Source organism: Homo sapiens, chromosome 11, assembly GCF_000001405.40.
Source record: "Homo sapiens chromosome 11, GRCh38.p14 Primary Assembly".
Classification (NCBI taxonomy): Eukaryota; Metazoa; Chordata; class Mammalia; order Primates; family Hominidae; genus Homo; species Homo sapiens.
The window spans coordinates 35344152-35360980 of record NC_000011.10 but is presented as its reverse complement, the minus strand read 5'-3'; the positions used below and the strand labels follow the sequence as shown (position 1 = coordinate 35360980).

Here is a 16829-nt window from a genome sequence, read left to right as displayed (position 1 = left end):
TCACTTGAGCCCGGGAGGTGGACGTTGCAGTGGGCCGAGATTGCACCACTGTACTCCAGCGTGGGCAACAGAATGAGACTCTTTCTCAAAAAAAAAATAATAATAAATAAATAAACAAAATAAATGCAGGAACATTTTAGGTGATTAGTGTTCTGAGAGGCACATCTGAGAAATGGTGTTATGGTTTATGGAAGCCATGGAAGGTGACATGGAGACTAGAGTCCAAACCTACCTCAAAACAACAGCTTGACCTTTCATTTTACATTTAATTAGAAAACAAAGAGAGGTCCTTCCACAAAATCCAGGAGTAAATTAAGCTATGGAACATTTAGAATTTAAGCATCAAGAAAAGATCAGAAGCTGGGGCATCTCTGGGCCTTAAAATGAGCTAGTTTCTTCTACACTGGGATTTAGAAGTTAAAGACTAATGACTTTACTGGGTCAGGGTTAAATGTCAAAGAGCAAGTCTTCCAAGGATGAAATGGTTAATGGTCACTGGGGTTGGAAGGGTGGTGTTAGAGAAGTGAAGGTAGGCACCCAGGGAAGGTCATCTGGTGTCAGAGCTACTGACAGGCTCAGGGGCTTACCCACAGGCTGCTGGGATAACCAAGTAGAAATTCACAAAACGTGGGAGGGAAACAGCCATGGTTCTTGCCTAAGGAGAGAAAAGGGACATCAAAGGCCAAAGATGACACTGATGATGACTTTAACTCCCATAATTACACAATGTCCAAACAAACAGTGACCTTGGGCTCTCGAACCAAATGACAAAAGTCAGTAGGACAGTTTGTGACGTCTTTGTCATCAAAACACTGGGTAGGTAAACTTTAAAGCCCCCGACAGCTTTTCCTCTATAGTATAGCAGGACTGTGATGGAAGGCACAGCTCACTCCAGCACTACGTGACCAGCACGTTCCTGGAGCCGAGAGAATGGTCAGGTCAGAAATCTTGGATGGGTTAAGGGTGGGTTGTGAGGGGTGATGAGAAGGGAGGAATCAGTTTGCATTCCTGGAGAGGGAGGAGAAATGAAAAGGCAGAAAAATAGGTTATTATAAGACACTCATGAGAGCCTATTTTGGTATTTGGCAAAGACACTTGCTTTTCCCAGGGGCTGAAATAATGTGATTTCGCTCCTGTGAATGAGATCTTCCTTAGGAACATTGAGGCTCAGAGAAAGGAGTAAGAGTTGGGAAATATAATCTGATTTTCAGGAAAAACAATTGGTTTCTGAAACATCTTAGGATGCTGAATAAAATGCACAGGTCTCTGCATGCCAGTGCCTGGCAGTGAGCCAAGTACTTGGTACGCTGAATGAATTAATGAATTAATGGAAGAACCAGAGTTATTTTTATCTTTCCACATCAAATTATTCCCCTTGAAATGACTGCTTAAATAATATATTAATTACATGATACTGATGATGACTTTACTCTCATGATTACACAACATCCAAACAAACAGTGACCTTGGGCTCCTGAGCCAAATGACAGCAGTCGATAGGACAGTTTTTGATGTCTTTGAGGTCAAAACACTGGCTAGGAAAACTTTAAAGCAGCTGACAGCTTTTTCTCTGCAGTATAGCAGGTAAGTGGTGACTTGGAAAAGCTGTATTTTTTTAAATCAAAATCATCATCCATGATTGGATCTTGAAGAATTGAAGAACCCAAAAGTGTGTGACGCAGTCCTTAATGAATATGTCCTCTACTTTCAGCCTCATGTTCTTTCTACAGGTTCTAATGTTAGTGTCTTCAGCCATCACTGTGAAGAAATTGACACAAATGAAAATTCATGAATTGCAGCTCTGCCATTTCCCTGTTGTGTGATAGCTGTATTTCCACTAGCAAGTGCAAGTGGCTTTAACTAAGATTTTATTGTCAAGCAGTTTACCCTGCTGTCAAAGTCTTGGGTCCAAAGATCTAAAGTAAAAGTGTCAGCGATGTTGCACTGCTGCCTGTATTTGGTGGGAAAATTAGCAGGTCTGGCTTTTGTGGTGAAAAAGGTATTTTTTAATAGTACTAAAGGCATAAGATATTTGGTCCCATGTTATTCTCTGGGTCCTTGTTAAGTATTTCTCTTTCCTCTTGCAACGTAGAGTGTGGGTGTGACAATGACCACCGCCTCCCGCTTGCTATTCATTTATTCCTTCAAATTACTCTTTCTTTTTTTCCATTATTGGAAAAAATGGCTAGTACTTATTTATTCTCTCAACACATTATTCAGTGTTCACTAGGTTCTGGGTGCAGCTTTAGGGTTTACCAGAAGTGGGACAATATTCAGTACTCTGTTCTTTCACATGTTAGTTTCTCTTTTCAGAAGTCCAAGATGATGATAAAAAAATAAAATAAAGAAGTCAAATGAAACAGAAATTGCAAATAGCAGTTACTCAGGAAACCAGAAAACATTGAGAAAGTCTGGAAAAATTGGATTTGAGCAAGGGCTTTCTGTATTTGCTTGGCAGTGTGGATGATACAAAGTTGTGAAGAACCTGGTAATTTTCCTTGCTACAATAATATAAATTACTTATTCTGTTCACATTTTGGCCTATTTCTCCTGTTTAAAATGAATTCCTTGAAGTTCATTTGTTTATAGTTTCAGCTTTTAAAAACATGATTAATATTATGATCATAAAAGTTCTACATGCTCATTGCAGAGCAGTATTAAAACATATAAATGTATGCATAAGGGAAAAAAATCACCTGCAATTTCTTCAACTAGAGATAATCACTGTTGAAATGTTGTATTCCCCTTCTAGTCATAACATACATCAATACTATTTGAGATCATGTTACATACTTTATATCTGTTTTCTAGGCTTCCCCCACCTCCCTTTTTTTTTTTAGACGGAGTCTTGCTCTGTTGCCAGGCTGGAGTACAGTGACACAATCTCGACTCACTGTAACCTTTGCCTCTTGGGTTTGAGCGATTCTACTGCCTTAGCCTCCCAAGTAGCTGGGGCTATAGCCACCTGCCACCACACCCAGCTAATTTTTGTATTTTTGGTAGAGACGGGGTTTTACCACGTTGGCCAGGATGGTCTCAATCTCTTGACCTGGTGATCTGCACACCTTGGCCTCCCAAACCGCTGGGATTACAGGCATGAGCCATGGCACACTGCCTTTCCCCCCTTTTTTTAAAGAAAAAGAACTTAAACCATTTTAATATACTATAAAATTCTTATTTTAAATTCTTTTCTAGCCTTGGTTGTTGTCCTAATGGTCACTCTTATATTGTGTGGACAATATGTAGGACCTGACTATGCTCAGCTTTATGTACATGCAGTAGGTTGCCATATGAGAATATGGGTAAGGAATTCTGTCTTTTAATGGCTCTGTTATACTTCACTATTGCTGTGGTGTCATTTGTTTAACTATTTTGCAGGAATTGGACTTGATTGTTTCCAGTTTTCTTATTTTATAAGTGGTGTTGCAAATGACCATCTTTGTATTGCATTTATTTTACTTAGAGATTGTTCCATGCACCATATTCCCAAAATGAAGTTACGAGGTTCATGAACATAAACAGATTTATAATGCTTTTTACCCATTTTGAGAAAGATTAAGCCTGATTAATACTGCTCTCATGTTGTCCGAATGTACTTGTTTGCACAAAGCCCCACTCCTGTCTAATTTAAGTCATTGATTTAGATTTTCTGCCTTTAATAGAGATCTAAAATTAATGGATTTGAATTTGCTTTTAAAAACTCTTACTTTTTTTTTTTTTTTTTGATATAGAGTCTCGCTCAGTTGCCCAGGCTGGAGTGCAGTGGCACGATCTCGACTCACTACAACCTCTGCCTGCTGGGTTCAAGCAATTCTCCTGCCTCAGCCTCCCTAGTAACTGGGTTTACAGACATGTGCCACCATGTCCAGCTAATTTTTTTTTTCTTTTTTCTTTTGTAGTTTTAACAGAGACGGGGTTTTACCATGTTAGATAGGATGGTCTCGATCTCCTGACCTCATGATCTGCCCGCCTCGACCTCCCAGCGTGCTGGGATTACAGGCGTGAGCCACCATGCCCAGCCTAAAAGATCTTACTTTTTTATAATAAGAGATACAATGCTTGCCATAAAAATGAGCAAATTAAATGAGTAAAAAGTTAATTATTGCCTGAAATAACAATACTTAAATAATGTGTTATCAGAAAATTAGTTTTACATTTTTATGTAATAAAATTTACATAAAGACTTTATATTTGAAAGAATAAGGATTACTTTTATTCTCATTTTCCCCATTTTTCTTAATATTCTCTCTAAATTGTCAGAGATTTTACATTTGTCAATGCCATTCACCTGCTTAGTCTGTTTCAAGACAAGCGTAAACGACAAGAGCAAAGGAATATTCTAGACCCTCAGAAGAAATTTCAAATGTCTGAGAAGGATCCTTGAATTTTGCTGCCCCAGAGAAAAGATACGTTATATTCTTGATCAAAAGTAGGTGTCTTGGAATGCACCGCATTTTTGCCCACATTGCAACCAAGGGCCTTCTGCCCAGGGTTCCAGGGGAGTGCTGGGAGTTGCCTTGAGTCTTAGCCACCTGACCAAGTGCACTGCCATAACGCATGGCCAGAGGTGCCCAGGAACATTAGCAGATTTTTGACTAAGCCTTTCTACTATCTCGGGACACCAATGAGGTCAAGGATCTTATTCCCAGAAATTTTATAGAACAAACACACACCTGCCCATAACATCACTGTTCAAAATCAATTAGGGATATTGTATGGGTCGATTATAAGTTTGTGAGGATGAATTTGGAAAAAAACATCATGGGGTCCCCCAGTCTAGGTGTATTTGATGGTATTCAATTCATTCAGGAACTCTCAAAGTGTAGCTAAGTACAAAGTTATAGAATCTTTAGAATCATTACTGCTAGACATCCTACAACCTGCTCAGAAGGCCACACCAACTTTCATGGGCAGTTGGCCATGCACCATGTATTTCACATAATTATTTTGTTTGTAACTAAAGAGAAACAGCTCTGTAATGGACAGTGTTGTTATCCATCTGCTGTGCCTTACATATGAGAAAACCAAGGCTCAGAGTTACCTAACTTGTTCAAGGAGACCATCAGCTAAGATTTTTTTTTTTTTTTTTTTGAGATGAGATGGAGTCTTGCTCTGTTGCCTAGGTTGGAGTGCAGTGGCATGATCTTGACTCACTGCAACCTCTGCTTCCCAGGTTCAAGTGATTCTCCTGCCTCAGCCTCCCGAGTAGCTGGGATTACAGGCACATGCCACTATGCCCAGCTAATTTTTGTATTTTTAGTAGAGGTGGGGTTTCACCATGTTGACTAGGCTGGTCTTGAACTCCTGACCTCAAGTGATCCGCCTACCTCAGTCTCCCAAAGTGCTGGGATTACAGGTGTGAGACACCACGCCCAACCAACTAAGATGTTAAGACTGGATCTATAACTGGCCTCACTCCCTCTACAGCTGGTGCATTGACCACTTCCTGCTGTTTTGTGCAGACACGCAGCAAAACAAGGCAGTCAGCAGGCACAACCCATGGATGCTTTTTTTCCCAGTGAACTCCAGTACACTTACAAGTGCTAATCATCTGAAATGGTGCGAATTATGGAAAAACACAGAAAAAAAGCCATCAAAGATTATTGGAGTGAAGATGCAGTAGGAGGGTGTGAAGGGTTGGGAGGAGGGAAGTCAGGTCTCTCTGATGCTGAGATTCTGAAAGTGAGCTCACCATGGTTGGTCTCATTCACAGACCGTCTTACCTTTGGCCTTTTTTCATCCTGAGAGTAAACTCTATAATGTTTTAAGTCTCTCTACCAACAAGGTAGAAGAGTTTGAACTCACATTGGCCAAAGGGGCCTGCCACAAGGGAAAAATTCTTTGAAACCAAGCAAATTTTTACATCATGCTCTATTGTTTGTTTGTATTTCTATGTAAATGTTATGGTTTAAACTACCATGTTTCTCTGATTATAAATGTAATCATTTATAGGAGTTTCCATTGATTTTATAACAGCATTGGGATAAGGGAAACTACATTCATTATGAGACACATTCCATTTTCAGAAAACTTAAAATATGGGAAAATGTATAATTAGAACGGAGGAAATTCAGGAAGATTTTGCTGTTCGTGGAAGATGTGTCATGTTTCTGTTGGGGCTAGGCCAGGCTTCTGGTATCTATTTGTGTCCACATGAGAGTAGGCACGTATTTCAGTATGTGGTGCAAAGTCTCAGATGTGTTCTTGGGTGACAGGGATGCGGGCGGTTGGGGGTAAAAAGTGTAAGGAATTGCCCATGGCTGGCTCCTTCTGCCTCCCTGACATCTGTTGGGATAGGGTTTCTCGACCTCGGCCCTATTGGCATTTGGGTCAAAATAATTCTTTGTTTTGGGGGGTGATTTGCAGCAAAACCAAAAATGTGTCCAGACATTACAAAATTGCCCCTGGCTGAGAACCACTGTGTTAGGGCAAAAGAGAAACGTTGGAAGAGGTGGGCCAACACAGATCCTTTGATTTCAGGATTTTTTATTTATTTTATTTATTTATTTAGTTAGTTTTAAGAAACATAGTCTTGCGTTGTCACATAGGCTGGGTACAGTAGTGTAATCGTAGCCCACTGCAGCCTGGAACTCCTAGGCTTCAAGGAATCCCTCCACCTCAGACTTCCTGGTAGTGGGGACTCCAGGTGTGCACCATCATGCCTGGCTAATTTAAAAAAAAATTTTTTTTTTGTAGACACGGGGTCTTGTTATATTGACCAGGCTGGTCTCAAACTCCTGGTCCCAACCAATCCTCTCTCCTCAGCCTCCAAAAGCCCTGGGATTACAGACAGGAGCCACTGCACCCAGCTAAGACTTTCTTTTTATATCAGAAGGCCTCTTGTCCCAGTATGCCACTAATAGGATACCTTTGCCATTTGGTAATAGATTTGTGTTTTGGTCTTCTATCTGTATAACGATCAGACCCAAGGGTTTCTAGGGACTCTTCTAGGCATGAAACTTTTCTCAGTAGTTGCCAGGATTATAGGATTTTTAACCAGTGGTACCATTCTAACAGTGCTGTCTGTTGAAATCCTCCCTCCTTAAAGTTTAAATGTATATTAATATTGCACTAAGTCCTATGATCATACTCTTTATTCACTTAACATCCTTTCAAGGGAGGCTTTGGCCTGTAATTGAAATAGGAGTAAGGAGTCACTGGGAGCCAGCGGGGCAAAAGCACAATAATAATAAATGCCTAAATACTATTTAACATGCAATTAATTAAATATCAACATGGTCTGTTGATGGTAGAAAGGTGACAAGACTTTCTTCTTTTCTGAAGGTCTAGCTCATGTCCACCCTTGCTATTAGGGATATTTGCCAAGGATCATTGAAAGAAATTTTGATCATCTGAGGTGGGAATTAATCATTTGTCTTCGAGCTCTCTATTAGAGACTCACATATTTTAATGTAGCTAAAATTTATTGGAAACCCTATTGTGCTCTTAATAGGTGATTTAGCAGTGAGGAAACAAGTTCCAATTCTGTTCTCAAGAAGGGTACAGTCTAGTGGGGGATGATGCACATCCATCAATCACACAGATCAACAGGGAGTTAGACTTTTTCAGTTAGGTCAGGGAAGCTTCCTGGAGGAAGCAACATTTGATTCAAGATTGGAAGGATGAGCAGGAGTCTGCTAGGTGAAGAAGAGAAGCTGAGGCATTGCTTCTGTGCATTTGTATGAACGGTTAGGGGAGTGGAAACCTTAAGAGCAAAGAGACAAGAAAAGGAGAATGTCATCCCAACCCCATCTGTCTCTATCAGAAGGTTTCTAAACAGCCACATTCACTCCATTCTAAGTCACCCTTAGTTGTAAATTGCACTCACAATGTAATAATAGTTTTTCAAGTAAAAAGAGACATACTATAGTAGATAAATGTTGATATTGACTATAATATGCATCCCAATTTCAGAAATGTTAAATCTTAAAAAAAAAGCCTATCTTAGAAGCAAGGACATAAGATATCAAAATTCAAAGTCGGTCTTGAAATGATTATTGCTATTATTGTCATTGCTTTTATATTGAGGTCTCTGGTTGTCACTGCTGGGACAGTTTTCATTGGCCATCTCTGCTGCCCAGGCACATGCTTCCCCACCACATTGATAGGATCTCTTGCTTCCTGCTCAAACCTCCCCTCTTTTCTCCCCAGCTCCTTAATTCCCAATCCCTTGAGTTCCCATTGATTTCTCGCATGGTGCAGTTTAGCCATGCATGAACTCACTGCCAACCATCTCAACCTAACCCTCTGAAATGTATCCAGTAAGGTGTATTACAAAACAAGGGCAGCTCTCTCAGTGCAGTGAGCATGCCCTGAGACAGCTTGCAATTCTAGACAGGGGTGAGAATATCAGGAGGAGAAATTGTGCCACTCCTTTGCAGAAGGGAACTGGGGCCTTACTGCTTTCTCAAGAGGCAGCATTGGAATGGCTTCTAGAAAGATGGGCTTGGCCTTGGGATGGTGAAAATGCTCTCTGTCTGTGACCTCTGGGGCTCAGCCAAGGCAGGGATGGATAAAGAACTAACCTGCCCTGCCTGCCAGCCAAAAATAGTGCTAACTGCGTCACAGAGCTTTTGGTAATTAAACCTTCCCTCTGCAGAAAGCTGTGGCTTGGACTGATAAGGGACCGTGGATGTGTTAAGGTAATTCACTCCCAACACTGACATTCTTCACTCAACATCAGAAGCAGGCTGGAAAACTAAGTGGAACTAGATGAAGTTTGAGATTCATAACCAGGGCATGGTATGTAAGTAGCAAAAAGACAGAACATGTGCCAACAAAGTTTCTTATAGATTAAGTAGTTCTTTGTTTTTACTCTGAGTCATATGGACTTTTTTCCTTTTTGGTCAGTCAGCTTAGTTAGCAACTTTGTTTCTGATCATAAAAATGCTTCATTTTTGCTGTAGAAAGTTGGAAACATAAAGGAAAGAAGCAATAAGGAAGTAAAAACCCATCCATCATCTTATCATTCACAGATAGCCACTAGGAACCTTTTGTGTCCACTTTTTTCTCGATGCAATGTACAATTTTTATAAAATTATGATCAGGGCCAGATGCGGTGACTCACGCCTGTAATCCCACCAATTTGGGAGAATGAGGTGGGTGGATCATGATGTCAGGAGTTTGAGACCAGCCTGGCCAATATGGTGAAACCCCGTCTCTACTAAAAATACAAAAATTAACAGGGCGTAGTGGCATGCACCTGTAGTCCCAGCTACTCAGGAGATTGAGGCAGGAGAATCGCTTGAGCCTGGGAGGAGAGGGTTGTAGTGAGCCGAGATTGTGCCACTGCACTCTGGCCTGGGCAACAGAGCAAGACTCTGTCTCAAAAAATAAATAAATAAATAAAAATAAAAAATAAAATAATAATCAGAGTATATCTGCAGTTTTCTGTCTTACCTTTTAAATGTACACACAATATACTCCCAATCATACTGTATCTGATGGGGTCATTCAATATTACTTGAAAACCAGACTGTTTTTAGCTTATAAACCTCCTTAGGGCCTGAGCTGAGTGGGGTGAAGTATCTGGGAGAACACACGTCCATGTCAGTAGGAAAGTGCTCTGGTCTGGAGTGTTCTTCAGACAGGATCCATGGTCCCAGGAGAAACTGACATGCTGTCTGGGAAAGCAGAGATGTTCTGGTCATTTTGGGAGGCAGAGAAGGAGTGGGAAGTTCACTGGGGAGAGCATTATGCAGAGAGAAGAGCATGGGCTCGTAAGTAAAGCATTCCTGGCTTGGATTCTGTCTCTGGCACTAATCAGTTGCCTGATCATGGTTAGCCTACCTAATCCTCTAAACCTCAATTTTCTCACTTATAAAGTGGGACTAATGGTATTATGTATTTCACTGGGTTATTGGAGGATAGTACCTGACTCAGAGTAAGTACTCAATGAATGTTAGCCATCATTAGTATATTATTTTTATTAATCTCTCCAACAAGGACTGGGTCAGCTGATTCTATTGGATGAGGATAGTGGGTAGATGGGTTCACTCTTTAAGATAATCTTTAAAAGGAAGTAAAAATATTGGTGGCTTTTAGTATTAATATGTTCTCTCAGAGAGAAGGTGTATTTAAAGTTTAGGGGAGTCAGAAGAATGAAATCTTAAGGCTCCTTCCATTTCATTTTCCAGACCATGAATTGAGGACACTTCAGTGCCTGGTAGGAGATTTGGGTTCAGACCAACAAGCAGCTCCAATCTCAGCCCAGGCATCTTCCTAATCAGGCTTGATGGGCAGCTGCAGCTATAAGTATTTAAATAAATCATCAAAGGGTTTGTTGCATCAGCCAAGCTTTTTAGAGTCCCAAATTTAAAAGCTGAGATAAAATCTTATCTTGCTGTGTCTTTACGGAAGGATCCCCAGATACCTGGGGTTAAGGTCTGGCTCAAGTCAGGACCTAGGAAGCAGCATATGTTGACTGGAGAGACCTGGGTTTGAATCCCAGCTGTGCATGTTATTAGTTATATGACCTTGGGCAAGATTCACAACCTTAGCCCTTCTTTACCTTCTCACCCTAATCTGGGGTAAACATTTGTACCTTTTGGGGTTGTTGCAAGGATTAAAAGAGGCAAACTCTGTGACAATGCCTAGCTCCATGCTGGACTTAATATAAATGCTCAATAAATTTTGACACCATCTTCTATCCCCCATATCCTACAAGATAAAACAAGACAGAATGAGAAAGTGCTTAGGTTTCTTCATCTGTAAAAAGGTAATTGGAAAAAGAAAATTAAAGGCAGAAGCTCACTCAGCCTCTAGGGTCTGGGAGATGTCTTCTTGTTGTTTAAGTTTTAGTCTGTACTTTCTAAAAACCAGTAGTGGGCCTCTGGCATTTCCTGGCACATCTTAGCAGATAGGTATTGAATATATACCATGTGCCACAGTACTGCGCCCTTTGTATGGGTGATCTCATACAGTGCTTTCATTTCATGGAGGAGAAAAACTGAGGCTCAGAGACATGAAGAAACTCACCCAAAGTTTCTTAGCTGTTAAGTGGTGGAGCTGGGATTGGTACCTAGGTCTCTCTGTCTCGGAGCCCGTGTTTGTAACTACCCCGAACATAGGTCTCTAACCATATAGGACTCCTACTCCTTGCTGGAAAACATAAGTACAAAACAGACAAGAATGGCCTTTTCAATTACTAAACTGTAAGCCCCCTGAGCCCAAAGACTGTGTGTTCCCCGCTCAATCCCCTCCCAGGCATGCAGCTAATAGGAAACCCTGGAGACATACTGGGAATCTAAGAATCTGGGTTAGGATTCCTTTGAAATGCAGATGTCCTGTGAGAAGTAAGCACCTGATTTCTTATATACCTGAGTTCATTAGATACTTATCTTTGATATGGGAGAGAGTAGAGCTTTCTCAGATACCTGGGTGGCTAGCTGCAGCGAAAGGACTGAAAATCTGGAGGGGAAGAGCTCTTCTCTCTCTTTATTTTCTCACTAACGGAAGGGAGTAAAAGGCAGAGGAAGTGGGTCTGAGATGAGGAAGACAGTACCACAGGGTTCATAAGATGTACACATCAGAATTCCTGGCTTGCAGGCCCTGGGCATTGGCTGGACAAGGTTTGTTGGTCTCTAGGGCACAGAAAGAATCTATGCCTCCGAGGATTCATAGAAAATTACCACTTCCTCTGTCATTATCTTTTATTTATTATTCTCTGTGATCTGTTGGTCTTTGATTCCCTTTGTATTTTTGATTCTTTTGTGATTCTCCCTTTCGATTTGGCGCTGGTTTTTACCCTGATCTCATCTGTATCGTCCACACCTCAATGCAGGCTTCCCGCGCCCCTGCCCGGGCTCCCGCAGTGCCCCCATCTACATCCCTGCCTCCAGTCTTGTTCATTGCTGCTGCCAGATTCACCTCCCTCTATGTCCACCTGTTTTGGAACCTTGCCACTCCCATCCTGCTCTGAGCTTTTGCTCTGTATTTCCTCTGCCTGATGTATCCTCTCCCCTTTCCTCTTCCAACCAAAAGAAAGTCTACCTATAGCCTTCCAAACTCAGCACACATCCTTCTCCTTTGGGAACCTGTTCCCAATGATTCCCTCAATTTCTCTGTCTTTTTTTTTTTTTTTTTTTTTGAGACCAGGTCTCGGTCTGTCGCCCAGGCTGGAGTGCAGTGGTGTGAGCTCGGCTCACTGCAGCCTCCACCTCCTGGGTTCAAGCAATTCTCCCACCTCAGCCTCCCGAGTAGCTGGGATTTACAGGGGTGAGCCACCACGCCTGGCTAGTTTTTGCATTTTTAGTAGAGACAGGGTTTCACCATGTTGGTCAGGCTGGTCTGTAACTCCTGACATCAGGTGATCTATCCGCCTCAGCCTCCCAAAGTGCTGGGATTACAGGATGAGCCACCATGCCTGGCCTCTGTCTTCTTAATTCTAGTAGTGCTGATGTGTGCCTACATCAGCTGGTCATGTGCTTCCTCCCCTCTGCTTAGGGCATTGTTTACCTCTTGGACATGACTTCTCACCTGTTTGCTTTCCTCCCATCTATGTCAGGAGTTCTTTAAATTTAATATTTCTTCTTCATTTATTGAGTATCTGCTACATGCGAGCACCCTATTGAGGGTTGAGAAACAAAGAGGAATTATTAGGTTTGCTCATCAATAAATAATTGAGGTGAGACCCTTAGAAATGTGTGTCCATTGGCCTGCTTCAATTTTAGACAGTTTTTTCACCAACTCCAGGGGAGGCCAAGCCAAGCATGCCTCTGGCTCTTGCATTCCACATGTCTCTTATTAAAAACAGATGGCCCAGGACTGCTTTGGCCATTGCACCAGTTGACAGGCCTGTTCCTGGGGAGGCTCTGCTTATGAATTCTAGAATCCTTTAGCTGCATTAGTAACAATTCCTCCTGCAGAGCAATGAGGGGATAGTGTCTGTGGGCTGGGCACTTTCCATGAATAAGAAAGGCCTGAATTCAACCCAGGTGCCGCCCAGACTTGTCACATGGAGCTTGGCCTCAGGCAAGGCCAAAATGGGAAGCTAGCTTCAGAGGAAGAGGTCCCTTCTGCCACTTCTGAATTCCTGAAGCTCACAACAACCAGCTTCTTTGTCCTCATTTTTCTTAGGAACAAATGTATTCATTTAACAAACATTTGTGGCTGAGTGTGGTGGCTCACACCTGTAAACTCAGCTCTTTTGGAGGCCAAGGCAGGAGGATTGCTTGAGGCCAGGAGTTTGAGACCAGCCTGGGCAACATGGCAAGACTTCATCTGTATTTTAAAAAATTGCTGAGCACAATGATCTCTGTTTTCCCAGTGCCTGCCTGGCTCAGGGCCTGGCACCGAGGTAAATACAACTGCTGCTCTAAATAAGCTCATCTCTAAGAAATGAAATGAATGCAAACTATTGAAAGCAAGGAAGGCAAATACGGGCATGCATATGTCCACTTCTTAATTTTGTGTCCACGGCAGATACTGCTAATTAATCATAGAACTCATTCACTTTGAATCTGGATTTAAGTGAAGATTCAGCCTTGGAATCCTTCTGAAAACATTGCTCCAGCAGCCACTATCAGTGATTTGGACTTTGCCCATGAGATGAAATCTGCTTGTGATCCTTTTTCTGGTCTTTAAAGTGGTCCAAATGCCACTGGAAGTGGGGAGCAGGGGTTCAAAACAGCAAGTATATTGAATTACCATGTCTGTCCAGAGCAGACTAGGAGACTCCATTCATGGGAGTGTCCAAAAGTAACACCGCTATTGCAGAAGCCCTGACCATTGCTCCTTCGCACTTCTTCTCGCTCTCATGGCTCCTTTCTGTCTGACTTTTGTGGACTCCTCTTCCTCCTCATACCCCTCAGAAGTGGCTGTTTTGCAGGGTTAAACTCTTATCCCTCCCAAACTCTTTTTTCTTGTCTGTTTTCTCAGTTGGAGAGCTAATTTCTTCCCTCAGCTTTTTCTAGCTTTTTAAAGTAGTTAACTGTCAAATCTGTATCTTCAGAGATGTCTTTTTCCAAAGTCTAAACTCCTCCCTTTGGCACTGAAGCACTTCCACCATCTGACCCTATTTATCTTTCCAGTCCCCTTTCCAGTCCCAGCTCCTTGCCTACAGAACTACTGCTGTGAGCACGAGGTCTTCTTCCATCCTGTGTCCAAGATGTGGGGTACCCATGGGGAGTCCTGCTCCCATGCCTTGGCACATGCCCCTGCCCTGCCCCTCTTCTCTGTTTGGTCTGTCATATCCATCCTATGAGTCTCCGCTTCACTGTCATTTCACTGAGAAAGCCCTTTCTGACTTCTTTATGATTTCAGAGGATAATAAGTGCCATGAGCAGAGGATCTTACTAGCTTACGCTTTGAGTCACTCAACAAACAGTTATTGACTGCCTCCTCTAAGTCCCTGGCGTATATGACGTGAACCTGCCCTCAAAGAGCCTACAGTCTGTTTACATTTCTGTCATTAGTTACTCTTGTTTATAGGTCATGTCTCTGCCATTAGATCGAATGCCTTGTGGTCCAGAGCTGAGTCCCAGTCACTGTATCCCCTCAATCCCCTGGGTATGCCAGATGCTCAGCACATCCCGAGTTGAGTGAAAGGCAGCTTCTTTCCCTGTCTGGTTTGCTGGTGGCTCTTTTGAGTGTGTGATTCTTGGGGAGGCTCATAAAGGGTTGCAGAGCTGGCAGGGGAAGGAGTAGCCCATGGAGACTAAGGGAGGAAGAAGTCCCTGCTCTATGCTTGACCCCAGAACAGCAGGAGGTGGGATGGAAATGGATGCCTCAAATGGAAAGCAGCCATGGCTAAGATGCATTAAGAACATGGGTCTAGGGGAGGGATAGCATTAGGAGAAATACCTAATGTAGATGATGGGTTGATGGGTGCAGCAAACCACCATGGCACATGCATACCTATGTAACAGACCTACACGTTCTGCACATGGATGCCAGAACTTAAAGTATAAAGAAAAAAAAAAAGAACATGGGTCTGCGTTTTAATTGTTGCAGCTCTTATGCTTAATGATTGTGAGACCTTGAGCAAGTTACTTAATTTCTCTGTGACTTGGTGTTCTCACCTGCAAAATGGGTCTTAAAACAATGTCAACTTTATAGAGAGGTTGTGAGGTTTAACTAAGAAAATGAGTTAAAATGAATATAAAACATTTAAAATAATTATTGGTACAAGCATTGGCTATTACTTAGATTTTCCTGGCAGTGGGATTTACTGGTGATTTTCATATTCATCATTGTATTTTTCTGTAGACAAAATGTATATTATTTAGCTCATCTGGAAAATATATTGTAAAACTATTTCTTTACCTTTTTTTAAGAGACAGGGAAAGAGTCTGGTTGGTGAAGGGGTTATAGTTAACTCTGGTAACCTCTGCCCCAGGTGCTGTGTGGGTATTTCATGGTGTGATTGGTGTGGGGAGGTAACCTTCAGCTCCCCGTCTTCTGCCTGTCCCCATCACTGGTCCCCCTCCAGTCCCAACAGTCAGATGCTCACAGTGGCGGTGCTGACCTTTCTGAATGGTGCAATTATTGGCGCCCAGTGAGCCTTGCACATGGAACAGGGAGTGAAATCACCCAGCACTTCCTCTGCAAAGAGGATGTGATCTTCAGACAGTGCAATCACAGGCAAGTGACCTCAGTTTCCTCAGAACTCAGCAGAAGGTTCTGAAAGCTGGAAGGCCATTTGCAGAACCCAGGAGAGAAAGGAGGGAAGACAAGGCTGGGTTTGCAAAAGCAGGAGCAAGGTCTGCACGTTTTATGAAGTGTTTTACAGTGGAGCTGTAATTGGAACCCTGGTATTTAGCAAGAGTTATGAGGTGTGATGGTCTTAGCACTGCGAGTCCTTTGGCGGCATATGTGATACTGGCATGAAACAGGCCAAGCATCATGGACTGGATTGCTTGGGTTCAGCATGCTGCTTAAATCGGCTTGTTTATTATTTTTAAAAGGACTATTTTTTTTTACTCTTGGGGCATTCAAAACTCCACTTAGAGACAAACCAAAAATATTTCTCAGTTACGTGCTCACTGTTTGAATCAGAGCTGCTAAGCCTAATTGGTTGGTCCAATTCTCTTACTACCTTCTGGAGATTAAAAGCTCCTCTAGCTCACTTCCAAATCAGAGTGGATGGAATTTGATCCAATCCAGGTGCTCAGGGCTCCAGAAGCCCTTCCTGTTACAGAGAGGGTGAGTGAGCAGGCCGAAGATTGTGCTTTTTATTGCTCGAAGATAGTTTCCTAGTCCTTGAAGCTGAGAAAGCAGGAAGGGTCTCCCATTCTTTTTGAAATTCAGAACAAGCACATTGTCTGAAGAGGGAGGTTGGCCTTCTTTTTGTCTTTCACCATGTGAGGGATGGCAGCCAGGACTCAGCCTTTTGGAATCACAGAGCCATGTCAGAAGCAACAACTGGTTGGAGTAGAACAAAGGATCTTAACTAGGGGCTGTGGGTAAAGGTCTTCCGGGGTCTGAAATTGTAAGGAAAGTTTGTCTGTATGTGCATTTTCAGGGGGAGAGTTCCATAATCCCATCAAGCATGCACTCACAGAATTTGACCTGTGCACTGTGTAGTGAGAGCTTGCTACTATTTGTAGCATATACCAAGCTTGCTTCTGCCTCAGGCCTTTGCACTTGCTGTTCCTTCTCAGAATACTTTTCCCCAAGATCCACATGGTCACTGTAACTTTCTTCAAGTCACTGGTTAAATGTCACCTCCTGACCACCTTATATTAAATATCCCGCTCAACAGTACATTGCTTCATTGTTCTTTACAGTGCTTATTCCATATGACATTGTTTGTTATTACCTCCCTCTTTCAGTATGTAAGCCTCTATGGTATTCACTGCTGTATCTGTAGCATATAGAACAATGCCAAG

The 16829-nt window shown here is 42.3% G+C and overlaps 1 protein-coding gene across 15 annotated transcripts in view, besides 2 other annotated features; it reads left to right on the top strand.

The window, feature by feature from the left end:
* Positions 1–16829, top strand: part of SLC1A2 (solute carrier family 1 member 2) — a 169303-nt gene that overhangs the window by 59527 nt on the left and 92947 nt on the right. For 2 of the 15 annotated variants that reach the window (XM_047427441.1, XM_047427436.1), the window contains exon 1: positions 854–1584. The exons of the other annotated variants lie outside the window; for them this stretch is intronic. In XM_047427441.1, the coding sequence (XP_047283397.1) occupies positions 1484–1584 (101 nt within the window). In that variant the 5' untranslated portion in view covers positions 854–1483. Of the gene's footprint in view, positions 1–853; positions 1585–16829 lie in introns of those variants that run through there. 15 annotated transcript variants of the gene reach the window in all.
* Positions 12679–13180: an enhancer, noted in NCBI's record as "NANOG hESC enhancer chr11:35369348-35369849 (GRCh37/hg19 assembly coordinates)". NCBI's record gives its function as "activates a minimal SCP1, AML or CMV promoter by ChIP-STARR-seq in naive H9 embryonic stem cells {active_cell/tissue: H9 hESC(naive)}" and the evidence as "EXISTENCE:reporter gene assay evidence [ECO:0000049][PMID:30033119]".
* Positions 15767–16294: an enhancer, noted in NCBI's record as "H3K27ac hESC enhancer chr11:35366234-35366761 (GRCh37/hg19 assembly coordinates)". NCBI's record gives its function as "activates a minimal SCP1, AML or CMV promoter by ChIP-STARR-seq in naive H9 embryonic stem cells {active_cell/tissue: H9 hESC(naive)}" and the evidence as "EXISTENCE:reporter gene assay evidence [ECO:0000049][PMID:30033119]".